Source organism: Homo sapiens, chromosome 11 (assembly GCF_000001405.40).
Source record: "Homo sapiens chromosome 11, GRCh38.p14 Primary Assembly".
Lineage (NCBI taxonomy): Eukaryota > Metazoa > Chordata > Mammalia > Primates > Hominidae > Homo > Homo sapiens.
The window spans coordinates 39874956-39893915 of NC_000011.10; the positions used below are offsets into that span (position 1 = coordinate 39874956).

At 38.9% G+C, this 18960-nt stretch overlaps 1 long non-coding RNA gene across 2 annotated transcripts in view, besides 1 other annotated feature; it reads right to left on the reverse strand.

Annotated features, from left to right (window-relative positions):
- The window catches only part of LOC105376637 (uncharacterized), a 292809-nt gene that overhangs the window by 204546 nt on the left and 69303 nt on the right, over positions 1 to 18960 (reverse strand). The window lies entirely within an intron of this gene.
- Positions 6094 to 6595: an enhancer, noted in NCBI's record as "H3K4me1 hESC enhancer chr11:39902599-39903100 (GRCh37/hg19 assembly coordinates)". NCBI's record gives its function as "activates a minimal SCP1, AML or CMV promoter by ChIP-STARR-seq in naive H9 embryonic stem cells {active_cell/tissue: H9 hESC(naive)}" and the evidence as "EXISTENCE:reporter gene assay evidence [ECO:0000049][PMID:30033119]".

Consider the following 18960-nt stretch of genomic DNA (forward strand, 5'->3'; position numbering starts at 1 on the left):
CATTAGAGTGGTTAGAAAACAATATAGTCATAGAGAACATACTCTGGCTTTACAGTTAAGGCCAAACACAGTTCAAATGCAATACCTTTTTAATGAGACCTCGGGCTCAGGGTTCTCATTTGTGGAATAGGATCCTTACCTCATTAAATTGGTCTATGCATTAAGTGACATAATGCCTATAATATGAAGAATATATAGATGCTGCTTTTCCATTCCTCTTGACTACCCCTAGAATATTATATCAGCTGTTTTCATTTTCTTAACGACATGAATTGAGAGTAGGCCACAATTATTTACATTGTAATTATTTTTGTAATGTTCTTGTAAAATAAGAAAACAGTTCTATATTAATTCTCTGTATTGTTGTGGCACAGATAAATAAAAGTGTAAGTCAGAGGAAAAAATAAAATTGAAGGCCAATCATAGATGCCAGTGGACACACCTGTTGAAGCCAAGTAAGTAAACTAACAAGACCGAGAAGGGTATCCAGTGGGATGTTTAAGCCCACATATATATTTCCCTGGTTCTAACAGTTAATTCCAAGTTACTACAGAGTTAAGATAATTGCTGATTCTATTTTCTGTTTGTTCTTTTCTATTGATTTTTTTTGTTTGATTTTTTTTTTACTTTGTTCACAGATGATAAGTTATGTTACTTTGGTAATAATAAAAATTGGACATTTGATTTTATGGTCAAAACATTTGATAATCTCTATCAAACAGATTATAGGGATCTATTCTTTTTCAGTGGAGGGAAAAAAGAATGTATGGTTTTATTAGTGCTTTTGGTTGTTGCTGTTTGTTGTTGTTGTTGTTGTTTTGAGATGGAGTCTTGCTCTGTCGCCCAGGCTGGAGTGCAATGGTATGATCTCGGCTCACTGCAAACTCTGTCTCCTGGGTTCAAGCAATTCCCTGCCTCAGCCTCCCGAGTAGCTGGGATTACAGGCGACTGCCACCACACCTGGCTAATTTTTGTATTTTTAGTAGAGACGAAGTTTCACCATCTTGGCTAGGCTAGTCCTGAACTTCTGACCTCATGATCCACCTGCTTCGGCCTCCCAAAATGCTGGGATTGCAGGCGTGAGCTACGGCGACCAGCTATTAGTGCTTGTTTTTTAACTTGTTTGCTTATTTGTCAGTTTATATCAATTAAGAATTGCATACCCATCAAGAAGGAGAACAGCTCTTTGGAATCTGAACAAGTAATTTTAAAAAATGTGGCCGGGCGCAGTGGCTCACGCCTGTAATCCCAGCACTTTGGGAGGCCGAGGCGGGTGGATCACGAGGTCAGGAGATCAAGACCATCCTGGCTAACACAGTGAAACCCCGTCTCTACTAAAAATACAAAAAATTAGCTGGGCGAGGTAGCAGGCGCCTGTAGTCCCAGCTACTCGGGAGGCTGAGGCAGGAGAACGGCGTGAACCCCGGGGGGCGGATCCTGCAGTGAGACGAGATCTCGCCACTGCACTCCAGCCTGGGCGACAGGGAGACTCCGTCTCAAAAAAAATAAATAAATAAAATAAATAAATAAATAAATAAAATGTTTGTGTGTACTTTTGACTTGTGGTATAAGTTGTAGAATTGAAAATATAAGTGGTCTACAATGTAGTAGAATCTTTGGGAAATAGCTAAAGCAGTGTTTACAGGGAAATTTACAGCACTAAATGCCCATAGAAGAAAGCAGGAAAGATCTAAAATCAACACCCTAACATCACAATTAAAAGAACTAGAGAAGTAAGAGCAAAGAAATTCAAAAGCTAGCAGAAGACAAGAAATAAGTAAGATCAGAGCAGAAATGAAGGAGATAGAGACATGAAAAACTCTTCAAAAAATCAATGAATCCAACAGCTGATTTTTTTAAAAGATTGACAAAATAGACTGCTAGCCAGACCGATAAAGAAGAAAAGAGAGAAGAATCAAATAGACACAATAGAAAATGATAAAGGGGATATCACCACTGATCCCACAGAAATACAAACTGCCATCAGAGAATATTATAAACACCTCTAACGAATAAAATGGAAATTCTAGAAGAAATCGATAAATTCCTGGACACATACACCCTCAAAAGACTAAACCAGGAAGAAGTCAAATCCCTGAATAGACCAATAACAAGTTCTGAAATGGAGGCAGTAATTAATAGCCTACCAACGAAAAAAACCCAGGACCAGGCAGATTCACAGCTGAATTCTACCAGGGATACAAAGAGGAGCTGGTCCCTACCATTCATTCTGAAACTATTCCAAACAGTAGAAAAAGAGGGACTCCTCCCTAACTCATTTTATGAGGCCAGTATCATCCTGATACCAAAACCTGGTAGAGATACAACAAAAAAAGGAAATTTCAGGACAATATCCCTGATGAACATTGATGCAAAGATCCTCAATAAAATACTGGCAAACTGAATCTGACAGCACATCAAAAGCTTACCCCTCATGAACAAGTCAGCTTCATCTCTGGGATGCAAGGCTGGTTCAACGTACACAAATCAATAAATGTAATCTATTACATAAACAGAACCAATGACAAAACCACATGATCTCAATAGATGCAGAAAAGGCCTTCAATAAAATTCAACACCCCATTCATGCTAAAAACTCCCAATAAGCTAGGTATTGATGGAATGTATCTCAAAATAATAAGAACTATTTATGACAAACCCACAGCCAATATCATACTGAAAGGGCAAAAGCTGGAAGCATTACCTTTGAAAACCAGCCCAAGACAAGGATGCCCTCTCTCACCACTTCTACTCAACATAGTATTGGAAGTTCTGGCCAGGACAATCAGGCAAGAGAAATAAAGGTATTCAAATAAGAAGAGTGAAAGTCAAATTTTCTCTGTTTGCAGATGACATGATTGTATATTTAGAAAACTCCATCGTTTCAGCCCAAAATCTCCTTAAGCTGAAAAGCAACTTCAGCAAAGTCTCAGGATACAAAATCAGTGTGCAAAAATCACAAGCATTTCTATACACCAATAATAGATAAACAGAGAGCCAAATCATGAGTGAACTCCCATTCACAATTGCTACAAAGAGAATAAAATGCCTAGGAATACAGCTTACAAGGGATGTGAAGGACCTCTTCAAGGAGAACTACAACCACTGCTCAAGGAAATAAAAGAGGACACAAACAAATGGAAAAACATTCCATGCTCATGGATAGGAAGAATCAATATCATGAAAACAGCCACATTACCTAAAGTAATTTATAGATTCAATGCTATCACCATCAAGCTACCATTGACTTTTATCATAGATGTAGAAAAAACTACTTTAAATTTCCTATGGAACCAAAAAAGAACCCGTATAGCCAAGACAATCCTAAGCAAAAAGAATAAAGCTGGAGGCATTATGCTACCTGACTTAAGGCTACAGTAACCAAAACATCATGGTACTGGTACCAAAACAGATATATAGACCAATGGAACAGAACAGAGGTCTCAGAAATAACTCCACTCATCCACAACCATCTGATCTTTTACAAACCAGACAAAAACAAGCAATGGGGAAAGGATTCCCTATTTAATAAATGGTGTTGGGAAAACTGGCTATCCATATGCAGAAAAATGAAACTGGACCCCTTCTTTACACCTTACATAAAAATTAACTCAAGGTGGATTAAAGACTTAAATATTAGACCTAAAACCATAAAAACCCTAGAAGAAAACCTAGGCAATACCATTCAGGACATAGGCATGGGCAAAGAGTTCATTACTAAAATGCCAAAAGCAACGGCAACAGAAGCCAAAATTCAGGAATGGGATCTAATTAAACTAAAGAGCTTCTGCACAGCAAAAGAAACTATTATCAGAGTGAACAGGCAACCTACAGAATGGAAGAAAATTTCTGCAATTCATCCATCTGACAAAGGGCTAATATCCAGAATCTACAAAGAACTTTTAAGAAATTTACAAGAAAAAAACAAATAACCCCATCAAAAAGTGGGTGAAGGATATGAACAGACATTTCTCAAAAGAAGAGATTTATGCAGCCAACAAACATGAAAAAAACTCATGATCACTGGACATTAGAGAAATTCAAATAAAAACCACAATGAGATACCATCTCATGCCAGTTAGAATGGCAATCATTAAAAAGTCAGGAAACAACAGATACTAGAGAGGATGTGGAGAAACAGAAACACTTTTACACTGTTGGTGGAAGTGTAAATTAGTTCAACCAGTGTGGAAGACAGTGTGGTGATTCCTCAAGGCTCTAGAACCAGAAATAGCATTTGACCCAGTAATCCCATTACTCATGATATAGCCAAAGGAATATAAATCATTCCACCAGAAAGACACATGCACACATATGTTTATTGCAGCACTATTCACAATAGCAAAGACTTGGAACCAACCCAAATTCCCATCAATGACAGACTGGATAAAGAAAATGTGGCATGTGTACACCATGGAATACTATGCAGCCATAAAAAAGGGTGAGTTTATTGCCTTTGTAGGGATATGGATGAAGCTGGAAACCATCATTCTCAGCAAAGTAACACTGGAACAGAAAACCAAACACTGCATATTCTTACTCATAAGTGGGAGGTGAACAAGGAGAACACACAGACACAGGGATGGGAACATCACACAATGGGGCCTGTCAGGGAATGTGGGACTATAGGAGGGATAGCATTAGGAGAAATACCTAATGTACATGATGGGTTGATGGGTGCAGCAAACCACCATGGCATATATATACCTATGTAACAAACCTGCACGTTCTGCACACATATCCCAGAACTTAAAGTATAATTTTTAACAAAAGAACAAAATATAAGTTGTGTATGTGTCTGTGCATCTGTAGTTGAGTAAGGCTTTTACATTTCATTATAAGTGTGAAATAGTTTCCTACCTTCAGGGATTAAAAATTTGAATATACTATTGCTTAAATTAGTTGTCTTCTGATTATTTTATAAATATAAATAAGCATCGATAAAAATTTAAGTATTTCAAAATTTCCCAGAAAATAAATAGAATGGACTCATAACACTTTAAAATTATTGAGACAAATCTTTATCGCAGACACTGATATCTTAGAAACATTTTAAAAATCCAAGAATAATCAAGATGAATTTTGCAAATTATGCTATCAATAATTTTGTATTTAAAATATTAATGATAGCTATATGTCAATTTTTTGAGTTTCAATATGGAGTAAAATATAAACATTTTATAAGATTATATACAAGATATATTTGCATGATTTCTAAAGTTTTCTTTTATGTGAAATTTGGATTTGCTTTCTCACTAAGAGGTAAATTAATCTGAAATTTCTAAACTTGTACTGGATTACCAATATAAGACTTACATAATGTTCAAGATCATAAAAAATATAAATGTAGATTTAATTAAGTGGAATCATAATTCTGACAAGCTTACAAAGTATAAATATGTTTTGCACTATATTATAATAAATATTTCTAAGATCCTTAGATAACTAAAATTCATGAACTAATATTAAAATGTTAATGGATAATCTTCGGATTTTCAGCTAATTTCTTTTTTTTTTTTTTTGAGACGGAGTCTCACTCTTTCGCCCAGGCTGGAGTGCAGTGGCGCGGTCTCGGCTCACTGCAACCTCTGCCTCACAGGTTCACGCCATTCTCCTGCCTCAGCCTCCAGAGTAGCTGGAAATACAGGCACCCACCACCTGGATAATTTTTTGTATTTTTTTAGTACAGATGGGGTTTCACCGTGTTCGCCAGGATGGTCTCAATGTCCTGAAAGCGTCATCCGCCCACCTCGGCCTCCCAAAGTGTTGGGATTACAGGCATGAGCCACCGCGCCCAGCCCCCTGGATTCTTAGCTAATTTCTAAGGGATATTAAATAGTGAAAGATGGCTTATAAACATAATTTTAATTTTATAGTTTCTTATTTGCATGTGGTATGGAGTGGCCATCTCTTAGGGTAATGTTAATGAACCTTTTCCTTCTTATCATTTTGACAGGATGAAAAAGGGATACATATGGCTATACTTACGTGTATGAGCTTGTCTTCTACAATCATGATTATATATGACAGACAATTCTCAGTACTATTATCCAGTTGTTTTCTTTGCAATAAAAGATAGTTATTTTAGTTAAGAGTTATAACTAGGGAAGAGAAGCCAAGATGGCCAAATAGGAACAGCTCTGGTCTACAGCTCCCAGCGTGAGCAACGCAGAAGATGGGTGATTTCTGCATTTCCATCTGAGATACCGGGTTCATCTCACTAGGGAGTGCCAGACAGTGGGCGCAGGTCAGTGGGTACATGCACCATGAGTAAACCGAAGCAGGGAGAGGCACTGCCTCACTCGGGAAGCGCCAGGGGTCAGGGAGTTCCCTTTCCTAGTCAAAGAAAGTGGTTGACAGATGGCACCTGGAAAATCGGGTCACTCTGACCCAAACACTGTGCTTTTCCGATGGGCTTAAAAAACAGCGCACCAGGAGATTATATCCCACACATGGCTCAGAGGGTCCTACGCCCACGGAGTCTTGCTGATTGCTAGCACAGCAGTCTGAGATCAAACTGCAACGTGGCAGTGAGGCTGGGGGAGGGGCGCCCGCCATTGCCCAGGCTTGCATAGGTAAACAAAGCAGCTGGAAAGCTCGAACTGGGTGGATCCCACCACAGCTCAAAGAGGCCTCGCTGCCTCTGTAGGCTCCACCTCTGGGGGCAGGACACAGACAAACAAAAAGACAGCAGTAACCTCTGCAGACTTAAATGTCCCTGTCTGACAGCTTTGAAGAAAGCAGTGGTTCACCCAGCATGCAGCTGGAGATCTGAGAATGGGCGGACTGCCTCGTCAAGTGGGTCCCTGACCCCTGACCCCTGAGCAGCCTAACTGGGAGGCACCCCAACAGAACTGCAGCTGAGGGTCCTGGCTGTTAGAAGGAAAACTAACAAACAGAAAGGACATCCACACCAAAAACCCATCTGTACATCACCATCATCAAAGACCAAAAGTAGATAAAACCACAAAGATGGGGAAAAAACAGAACAGAAAAACTGGAAACTCTAAAATGCAGAGCGCCTCTCCTCCTCCAAAGGAACGCAGTTTCTCACCAGTAACGGAACAAAGCTGGACGGAGAATGACTTTGATGAGTTGAAAGAAGAAGGCTTCAGAAGATCAAATTACTCCGAGCTACGGGAGGACATTCAAACCAAAGGCAAAGAAGTTGAAAACTTTGAAAAAAATTTAGAAGAATGTATAACTAGAATAACCAATACAGAGAAGTGCTTAAACGAGCTGATGGAGCTTAAAACCAAGGCTCGAGAACTATGTGAAGAATGCAGAAGCTTCAGGAGCTGATGAGATCAACTGGAAGAAAGGGTATCAGCGATGGAAGATGAAATGAATGAAATGAAGCGAGAAGGGAAGTTTAGAGAAAAAAGAACAAAAAGAAATGAACAAAGCCTCCAAGAAATATGGGACTATGTGAAAACACCAAATCTACATCTGATTGGTGTACCTGAAAGTGATGGGGAGAATGGAACCAAGTCAGAAAACACTCTGCAGGATATTATCCAGGAGAACTTCCCCAATCTAGCAAGGCAGGCCAACATTCAGATTCAGGAAATACAGAGAATGCCACAAAGATACTCCTCGAGAAGAGCAATTCCAAGACACATACTTGTCAGATTCACCAAAGTCGAAATGAAGGAAAAAATGTTAAGGGCAGCCAGAGAGAAAGGTCAGGTTACCCACAAAGGGAAGCCCATCAGACTAACAGTGGAGCGCTCGGCAGAAACTCTACAAGCCAGAAGAGAGTGAGGTCCAATATTCAACATTCTTAAAGAAAAGAATTTTCAACCCAGAATTTCATACCCAGCCAAACTAAGCTTCATAAGTCAAGGAGAAATAAAATACTTTACAGACAAGCAAATGCTGAGAGATTTTGTCACCACCAGGCCTGCTCTAAAAGAGCTCCTGAAGGAAGCACTAAACATGGAAAGGAAAAACTAGTACCAGCCACTGCAAAACCACACCAAAACGTAAAGACCATCCAGACTAGGAAGAAACTGCATCAACTAGTGAGCAAAATAACCAGCTAACATCATAATGACAGGATCAAACTCACACATAACAATATTAACTTTAAATGTAAATAGACTAAATGATCCAATTAAAAGACACAGACTGGCAAATTGGATAAAGAGTCAAGACCCATCAGTGTGCTGTAATCAGGAAACTCTTCTCACATGCAGAGACACATATAGGCTCAAAATAAAAGGATGGAGGAAGATCTACCAAGCAAATGGAAAACAAAAAAGGCAGGGGTTGCAATCCTAGTCTCTGATAAAACAGACTTTAAACCAACACACATCAAAAGAGACAAAGAAGGCCATTACATAATGGTAAAGGGATCAATTAAACAAGAAGAGCTAACTATCCTAAATATATATGCACCCAATACAGGGGCACCCAGATTCATAAAGCAAGTCCTGAGTGACCTACAAAGAGACTTAGACTCCCACACAGTAATAATGGGAGACTTTAACACCCCACTGTCAACATTAGACAGATCAACGAGACAGAAAGTCAACAAGGATACCCAGGAATTGAACTCAGCTCTGCACCAAGTGGACCTAATAGAAATCTTCAGAACTCTCTACCCCTAATCAACAGAATGTACATTTTTTTCAGCACCACACCACACCTATTCCAAAATTAACCACATAGTTGGAAGTAAAGCTCTCCTCAGCAAATGTAAAAGAACAGAAATTATAACAAACTATCTCTCAGACCACAGTGCAATCAAACTAGAACTCAGGATTAAGAATCTCACTCAAAACCGCTCAGCCACATGGAAACTGAACAACCTGCTCCTGAATGACTACTGGATACATAACGAAATGAAGGTAGAAATAAAGATGTTCTTTGAAACCAAAGAGAACAAAGACACAACATACCAGAATCTCTGGGACGCATTCCAAGCAGTGAGTAGAGGGAAATTTATAGCACTAAATGCCCACAAGAGAAAGCAGGAAAGATCTAAAATTGACACCCTAACATCACAATTAGAAGAACTAGAGAAGCAAGAGCAAATACATTCAAAAGGTAGCAGAAGGTAAGAAATAACTAAAATCAGAGCAGAACTGAAGGAAATGGAGACACAAAAAAACCTTCAAAAAATTAGTGAATCTAGGAGCTGATTTTTTGAAAGGATCAGCAAAATTGATAGACCACTAGCAAGACTAATAAAGAAAAAAAGAGAGAAGAATCAAATAGACACAATAAAAAATGATAAAGGGGATATCACCACCAATCCCACAGAAATACAAACTACCATCAGAGAATACTATAAACACCTCTACGCAAATAAACTAGAAAATCTAGAAGAAATGGATAAATTCCTCGACACATACACTCTCCCAAGACTAAACCAGGAAGAAGTTGAATCTCTGAATAGACCGGTAACAGGATCTGAAATTGTGGCAATAATCAATAGTTTACCAACCAAAAAGAGTCCAGGACCAGATGGATTCACAGCCGAATTCTACCAGAGGTACAAGGAGGAACTGATACCATTCCTTCTGAAACTATTCCAATCAATAGAAAAGGAGGGAATCCTCCCTAACTCATTTTATGAGGCCAGCATCATCCTGATACCAAAGCCTGGCAGAGACACAACAAAAAAAGAGAATTTTAGACCAATATTCTTGATGAACACTGATGCAAAAATCCTCAATAAAATACTAGCAAAACCAATCCAGCAGCACATCAAAAAGCTTATCCACCATGATCAAGTGGGCTTCATCCCTGGGATGGAAGGCTGGTTCAATATACACAAATCAATAAATGTAATCCAGCATAGAAACAGAACCAAAGACAAAAACCACATGATTATCTCAATAGATGCAGAAAAGGCCTTTGACAAAATTCAACAACGCTTCATGCTAAAAACTCTCAATAAATTAGGTATTAATGGGACGTATTTCAAAATAATAAGAGCTATCTATGACAAACCCACAGTCAATATCATACTGAATGGGCAAAAACTGGAAGCATTCCCTTTGAAAACTGGCACAAGACAGGGATGCCCTCTCTCACCACTCCTATTCAACATAGTGTTGAAAGCTCTGGCCAGGGCAATTAGGCAGGAGAAGGAAATAAAGGGTATTCAATTAGGAAAAGAGGAAGTCAAATTTTCCCTGTTTGCGGATGACATGATTGTATATCTAGAAAACCCCATTGTCTCAGCCCAAAATCTCCTTAAGCTGATAAGCAACTTCAGCAAAGTCTCAGGATACAAAATCAATGTACAAAAATCACAAGCATTCTTATACACCAACAACAGACAAACAGAGAGCCAAATCATGAGTGAACTCCCATTCACAATTGCTTCAAAGAGAATAAAATACCTAGGAATCCAATTCACAAGGGATGTGAAGGACCTCTTCAAGGAGAACTACAAACCACTGTTCAGTGAAATAAAAGAGGATACAAATGGAAGAACATTCCATGCTTATGGGTAGGAAAAATCAATATCGTGAAAATGGCCATAATGCCCAAGGTAATTTATAGATCCAATGCCATCCCCATCAAGCTACCAATGACTTTCTTCACAGAATTGGAAAAAACTACTTTAAAGTTCATATGGAACCAAAAAAGAGCCTGCATTGCCAAGTCAATCCTAAGCCAAAAGAACAAAGCTGGAGGCATCACACTACCTGACTTCAAACTATACTACAAGGCTACAGTAACCAGAACAGCATGGTACTGGTACCAAAACAGAGATATAGATCAATGGAACAGAACAGAGCCCTCAGAAATAAGGCCACATATCTACAACTATCTGATGTTTGACAAACCTGAGAAGAACAAGAAATGGGGAAAAGTTTCCCTATTTAATAAATGGTGCTGGGAAAACTGGCTAGCCATATGTAGAAAGCTGAAATTGGATCCCTTCCTTACACCTTATACAAAAATGAATTCAAGATGGATTAAAGACTTAAACGCTAGACCTAAAACCATAAAAACCCTAGAAGAAAACCTAGGCAATACCATTCAGGACATAGGCATGGGCAAGGACTTCATGTCTAAAACACCAAAAGCAATGGCAACAAAAGACAAAATTGACAAATGGGATCTAATTAAACTAAAGAGCTTCTGCACAGCAAAAGAAACTACCATCAGAGTGAACAGGCAACCTACAAAATGGGAGAAAATTTTCGCAACCTACTCATCTGACAAAGGGCTAATATCCAGAATCTACAATGAACTCAAACAAATTTACAAGAAAAAACAAATAACCCCATCAAAAAGTGGGCGAAGGACACGAACAGACACTTCTCAAAAGAAGACATTCATGCAGCCAAAAAACACATGAAAATATGCTCACCATCACTGGCCATCAGAGAAATGCAAATCAAAACCACAATGAGATATCATCTCACACCAGTTAGAATGGCAATCATTAATAAGTCAGGAAACAACAGGTGCTGGAGAGGATGTGGAGAAATAGGAACACTTTTACACTCTTGGTGGGACTGTAAACTAGTTCAACCATTGTAGAAGTCAGTGTGGCGATTCCTCAGGGATCTAGAATTAGAAATACCATTTGACCCAGCCATCCCATTACTGGGTATATACCCAAAGGACTATAAATCATGCTGCTATAAAGACACATGCACACGTATGTTTATTGCGGCATTATTCACAATAGCAAAGACTTGGAACCAACCCACATGTCCAACAATGATAGACTGGATTAAGAAAATGTGGCACATGTACACCATGGAATACTATGCAGCCATAAAAAAGGATGAGTTAATGTCCTTTGTAGGGACATGGATGAAATTGGAAATCATCATTCTCAGTAAACTATCACAAGAACAAAAAACCAAACATCGCATATTCTCACTCATAGGTGGGAATTGAACAATGAGAACACATGGACACAGGAAGGGGAATATCACACTCTGGGGACTGTTGTGGGGTGGGGGGATAGGGGAGGGATAGCATTGGGAGATATACCTAATGCTAGATGACGAGTTAGTGGGTGCAGCGCACCAGCATGGCACATGTATACATATGTAACTAACCTGCACATTGTGCACATGTACCCTAAAACTTAAAGTATAATAATAATAATAACAATAATAATAATAATAAAGTTATAACTAACATGGGTTATTGAGACTACATGAAAAGCAATGATGATTGAGGAAAGCAATGTGTATGTAAAGCTGAGGTTTTGTTTTTCTAGGAAAAAAGAGAGTAGTTTTATCTTAAAATGAAATACAAGTTTGATCCAGAATAATAAAATAAAAAAAACACAAAAGGAGGAAACTTTAGTGTGTACAGCAAGTAGGAGAAGGTATGAAGGATGTTAATTTTGTTTGCCTTCGTTTAAAATATCTAAGCCTGAAAAAAAGCTGAGATAATTTATATTTTGGCAAAGTTCACTGAGTTTTGATGAATTTATTCACCACATAATTTAAGGGGGTCAGTAATGAGGGTAGGTGGTCATGCCAAATATTTATCAATATGAAAGTGAAATGTGACTTTTTCTGTTAAGTTGATAAGTAAGCGTTAGAAACTCTAAAGGAATAATAAAATATCATTGTTTAATCTTTTAGGTATATTTTCCACATAGCAAAGAGTCTATATCTCATTGAAAAACGTACTTTTCTTAGTTTTCATTTTATTATGCAACTGGCTAATTTTTTGAAAAATTCCTCACTTACGAAAAACCTAAAGTTTCTTACAAAACTGTTACTATCTTTTGTGTTTATTTAAAGCATGCCATCACTTTGATTAAAACAATAACCAAGTGTTTTTTCTCAGGACCCTTGAGCCTATCTTGAAACATAAGGTCTGCTTTATTTTGTAGGGGAGGGGGAGGGTTGCCTAAAGTAGTAGATACCAAATTTAGAAAAAAATTAATTCAATTCAGGAGCCTTCCCCCCTCCCATAGATTTCCTAGACAAACCCCAATATCTGTTACTTCACCTTGTGGAAAAAGATGATACGAACAGTTAGGGTTGTTTGCTGTGTTTCACATTGTATTAGCCCAACATTATTGTAAAATCCATGTGGGAAGAATTGTCAAAGTAGAAGAAACAGCTTTCCTGTAGTGAAAACTATATGGGCAAAATACTATTAAAATGAATATTTCAAAATTTTACACTTAATGGGGATTTTTCAATCCTTTCACTGTTATATATATTTTACCCTAAGGAGAAACGCTGATCAAACTCCTCAAATAGCTGTGTTCTAAATTCCAATAGAGAATCTGATTTCCCCCTTTCTAATATTCTAGTTCACTGTAATCATTTAACAACAAACTAAATAGGTTTCTGCTTTCCAAAGGTAGATAAAACCACAAAGATGGGGAAAAAACAGCAGAAAAACTGAAAATTCTAAAAATCAGAGCGCCTCTCCTCCTCCAAAGGAATGCAGCTCCTCACCAGCAACAGAACAAAGCTGGACGGAGAATGACTTTGACGAGTTGAGAGAAGAAGGCTTCAGACAATCAAACGACTCTGAGCTAAAGGAGGAAGTTCAAACCCATGGCAAAGAAGTTAAAAACCTTGAAAAAAGATTAGACAAATGGCTAACTAGAATAACCAAAGCAGAGAAGTCCTCAAAGGACCTGATGGAGCTCAAAACCACGGCACGAGAACTACGTGACGAATGCACAAGCCTCAGTAGCCAATTTGATCAACTGAAAGAAATGGTATCAGTGATGGAAGATCAAAAGAATGAAATGAAGCAAGAAGAGAAGTTTAGAGAAAAAAGAATAAAAAGAAACGAACAAAGCCTCCAAGAAATATGGGACTATGTGAAAACACCAAATCTATGTCTGATTGGTGTACCTGACAGAAAGTGAGGGGGGAATGGAACCAAGTTGGAAAACACTCTGCAGGATATTATCCAGGAAAACTTCCCCAACCTTGCAAGGCAGGCCAACTTTCAAATTCGGGAAATACAGAGAATGCCACAAAGACACTCCTCGAGAAGAGCAACTCCAAGACACATAATTGTCTGATTCACCAAAGTTGAAATGAAGGAAAAAATGTTAAGGGCAGCCAGAGAGAAAGGTCAGGTTACCCACAAAGGGAAGCCCATCAGACTAACAGTGGATCTCTCAGCAGAAACTCTACAAGCCAGAAGACAGTGGGGGCCAATATTCAACATTTCTAAAGGAAAGAATTTTCAACCCAGAATTTCATACCCAGCCAAACTAAGCTTCATAAGTCAAGGAGAAATAAAATACTTTACAGACAAGCAAATGCTGAGAGATTTTGTCACCACCAGGCCTGCCTTAAAGGGCTCCTGAAGGAAGCACTAAACATGGAAAGGAACAACCAGTACCAGCCACTGCAAAATCATGCCAAACTGTAAAGACCATCGAGGCTAGGAAGAAACTGCATCAACTAGTGAGCAAAATAACCAGCTAACATCACAACGACAGGATCAAATTCACACATAACGATATTAACCTTAAATATAAATGGGCTAAATGCTCCAATTAAAAGACACAGACTGGCAAATTGGATAAAGACTCAAGACCCACCAGTGTGCTGTATTCAGGAAACCCATCTCACGTGCAGAGACACAAAAAGACTCAAAATAAAGGGATGGAGGAAGATCTACCAAGCAAATGGAAAGCAAAAAAAGGCAGGGGTTACAATCCTAGTCTCTGATAAAACAGACTTTAAACCAACAAAGATCAAAAGAGACAAAGAAGGCCATTACATAATGGTAAAGGGATCAATTCAACAAGAAGAGCTAACTACCATAAATATATATGCACCCAATACAGGGGCACCCAGATTCATAAAGCAAGTCCTTAGAGACCTACAAAGAGACTTCGACTCTCACACAGTAATAATGGGAGACTTTAACACCCCACTGTCAACATTAGACAGATCAACGAGACAGAAAGTCAACAAGGGTATCCAGGAACTGAACTCAGCTCTGCACCAAGTGGACCTAATACACATCTACAGAACTCTCCACCCCAAATCAACAGAATATACATTCTTTTCAACACCACACCACACGTATTCCAAAACTGACCACATAGTTGGAAGTAAAGCACACTCAGCAAATGTAAAAGAACAGAAATTATAACAAACTATCTCTCAGACCACAGTGCAATCAAACTAGAACTCAGGATTAAGACACTCACTCAAAACCGCTCAACTACATGGAAACTGAACAACCTGCTCCTGAATGACTACTGGGTACATAACGAAATGAAGGCAGAAATAAAGATGTTCTTTGAAACCAACCAGAACAAAGACACAACATACCAGAATCTCTGGGACGCATTCAAAGCAGTGAGTAGAGGGAAATTTATAGCACTAAATGCCCACAAGAGAAAGCAGGAAAGATAAAAAATTGACACCCTAACATCACAATTAAAAGAACTAGGGAAGCAAGAGCAAACACCTTCAAAAGGTAGCAGAAGGTAAGAAATAACTAAGATCAGAGCAGAACTGAAGGAAATAGAGACACAAAAAACCCTTGAAAAAATCAATGAATCCAGGAGCTGGTGTTTTGAAAAGATCAACAAAATTGATAGACCACTAGCAAGACTAATAAAGAAAAAAAGAGAGGAGAAGACTCAAACAGACGGAAGAAAAAATGATAAAGGGGATATCACCACTGATCCCACAGAAATACAAACTACCATCAGATAATACTATAAACACCTCTATGCAAATAAACTAGAAAATCTGGAAGAAATGGATGAATTCCTGGACACATACACGCTCCCAAGACTAAACCAGAAAGAAGCTGAATCCCTGAATAGACCAATAACAGGCTCTGAAATTGAGGCAATAATTAATAGCTTACCAACAAAAAAAGTCCAGGACCAGATGGATTCACAGCTGAATTCTGCCAGAGGTACAAGGAGGAGCTGGTACCATTCCTTCTGAAAATATTCCAATCAATAGAAAAAGAAGGAATCCTCCCTAACTCATTTTATGAGGCCAGCATCATCCTGATACCAAAGCCTGGCAGAGACACAACAAAAAAAGAGAATTTTAGACCAATATCCCTGATGAACATTGATGCAAAAATCCCCAATAAAATACTGGCAAACCGAATCCAGCAGCACATCAAAAAGCTTATCCACCATGCTCAAGTGGGCTTCATCCCTGGGATACAAGGCTGGTTCAACATATGAAAATCAATAAACGTAATCCAGCATAGAAACACAACCAAAGACAAAAACCACATGATTATCTCAATAGATGCAGAAAAGGCCTTTGACAAAATTCAACAACCCTTCATGCTAAAAACTCTCAATAAATTAGGTATTGATGGGACATATCTCAAAATAATAAGAGCTACCAATGACAAACCCACAGCCAATATCATACTGAATGGGAAAAAACTGGAAGCATTCCCTTTGAAAACTGGCACAAGACAGGGATGCCCTCTCTCACCACTCCTGTTCAGCATAGTATTGGAAGTTCTGGCCAGGGCAATCAGGCAGGGGAAAGAAATAAATGGTATTCAGTTAGGAAAAGAGGAAAACAAATTGTCCCTTTTTGCAGATGACATGATTGTATATTTAGAAAACCCCATTGTCTCAGCCCAAAATCTCCTTAAGCTGATAAGCAACTTCAGCAAAGTCTCAGGATACAAAATCAATGTGCAAAAATCACAAGCATTCTTATACACCAATAACAGACAAACAGAGAGCCAAATCATGAGTAAACTCCCATTCACAACTGCTTCAAAGAGAATAAAATACCTAGGAATCCAATTTACAAGGGATATGAAGGACCTCTTCAAGGAGAACTACAAATCACTGCTCAATGAAATAAAAGAGGATACAAACAAATGGAAGAACATTCCATGCTCATGGGTAGGAAGAATCAATATCGTGAAAATGGCCATACTGCCCAAGGTAATTTATAGATTCAATGCCATCCCCATCAAGCTACCAATGACTTTCTTCACAGAACTGGAAAAAACTATTTTGAAGTTCATATGGAACCAAAAGAGAGCCTGCATTGCCATGTCAATCCTAAACCAAAAGAACAAAGCTGGAGGCATCACACTACCTGACTTCACACTATACTACAAGGCTACAGTAACCAAAACAGCATGGTACTGGTACCAAAACAGAGATATAGACCAATGGAACAGAACAGAACCCTCAGAAATAATGCCACATATCTACAACCATCTGATGTTTGACAAATCTGACAAAAACAAGAAATGGGGAAATAATTCCCAATTTAATAAATGGTGCTGGGAAAACTGGCTAGCCATATGTAGAAAGCTGAAACTGGATCCCCTCCTTACACCTTATACTAAAATTAATTCAAGATGGATTAAAGATTTGAATGTTAGGCCTAAAACCATAAAAACCTAAAAGAAAACCTAGGCAATACCATTCAGAACATAGGCATGGGCAAGGACTTTGCATCTAAAACACCAAAAGCAATGGCAACAAAAGACAAAATTGACAAATGGGATCTAATTAAACTAAAGAGCTTCTGCACAGCAAAAGAAACTACCATCAGAGTGAACAGGCAACCTACAAAATGGGAGAAAATTTTTGCAATCTACTCATCTGACAAAGGGCTAATATCCAGAATCTACAATGAACTCCAACAAATTTACAAGAAAAAAACAAACAACGCCATCAAAAAGTGGGTGAAGGATGTGAACAGACACTTCTCAAAAGAAGACATTTATGCAGCCAACAGAAGAAAATGCTCATCATCACTGGCCATCAGAGAAATGCAAATCAAAACCACAATGAGATACCATCTCACACCAGTTAGAATGGTGATCATTAAAAAGTCAGAAAACAACAGGTGCTGGAGAGGATGTGGAGAAATAGGAACACTTTTACACTCTTGGTGGGACTGTAAACTAGTTCAACCATTGTGGAAGTTAGTATGGCAATTCCTCACAGATATAGAACTAGAAATACCATTTGACCCAGCAATCCCATTACTGGGTATATACCCAAAGGATTATAAATCATGCTGCTATAAAGACACGTGCACACGTATGTTTATTGCGGCACTATTCACAATAGCAAAGACTTGGAACCAACCCAAATGTCCAACAATGATAGACTGGATTAAGAAAATGTGGCACATATACACCATGGAATACTATGCAGCCATAAAATAGGATGAGTTCATGTCCTTTGTAGGGACATGGATGAAGCTGGCAACCATCATTCTCAGTAAACTATGGCAAGGACAAAAAATCAAACACTACATGTTCTCACTCATAGGTGGGAATTGAACAATGAGAACACATGGACACCGGAAGGGGAACATCACACACCGGGGCCTGTTGTGGGGTTGCGGGATGGGGGAGGGATAGCATTAGGAGATATACCTAATGTTAAATGACGAGTTAATGGGTGCAGCACACCAACATGGTACATTTATATATATGTAACAAACCTGCATGTTGTGCACATGTACCCTAAAACTTAAAGTATAATAAAAAAAGAAAAAAATCCCATTGTGAGGTTGCAGGGTCAGGGTGGTCCCCGGTCAGCGGTTCAGCACGTCTGATGTCAAGCTCATTCTGTGCTGGGCATTTATCCTCCTTCCTCAGAGGTGAGCAGGCTGAGGCTCCAAGAGGCTGAGGGTAGTGTCCAGGATCAAACTTCGTGTTCCCATATGCCATATGATGTAGATGGTAGAAATGGGCAGGGGAGTATAATAAATAAAAGGAGTATATGAGAAGAGCACTGTCTTCACCTCCCACCACTGTGGCCACTGATAAACCCTGACTTGGCCATGAGCCGGCTGATACTGGTGCAAAGTGGACTGGGCCACCCAATCCTGACCCGCATGACCTGTGCATAGCAGGGGCAGCTGGGCACCACATCTTATATCACCATATCCCAAGCAGGAGACCCTCCCCGGGACAGTTCACACATCATCAGCACAACAGCAACCATCAGAGACTTTGCTATCCTAAGGGCACAAATAGCGTTTGCAGTGTCTTGGCTTTGAAGGACCC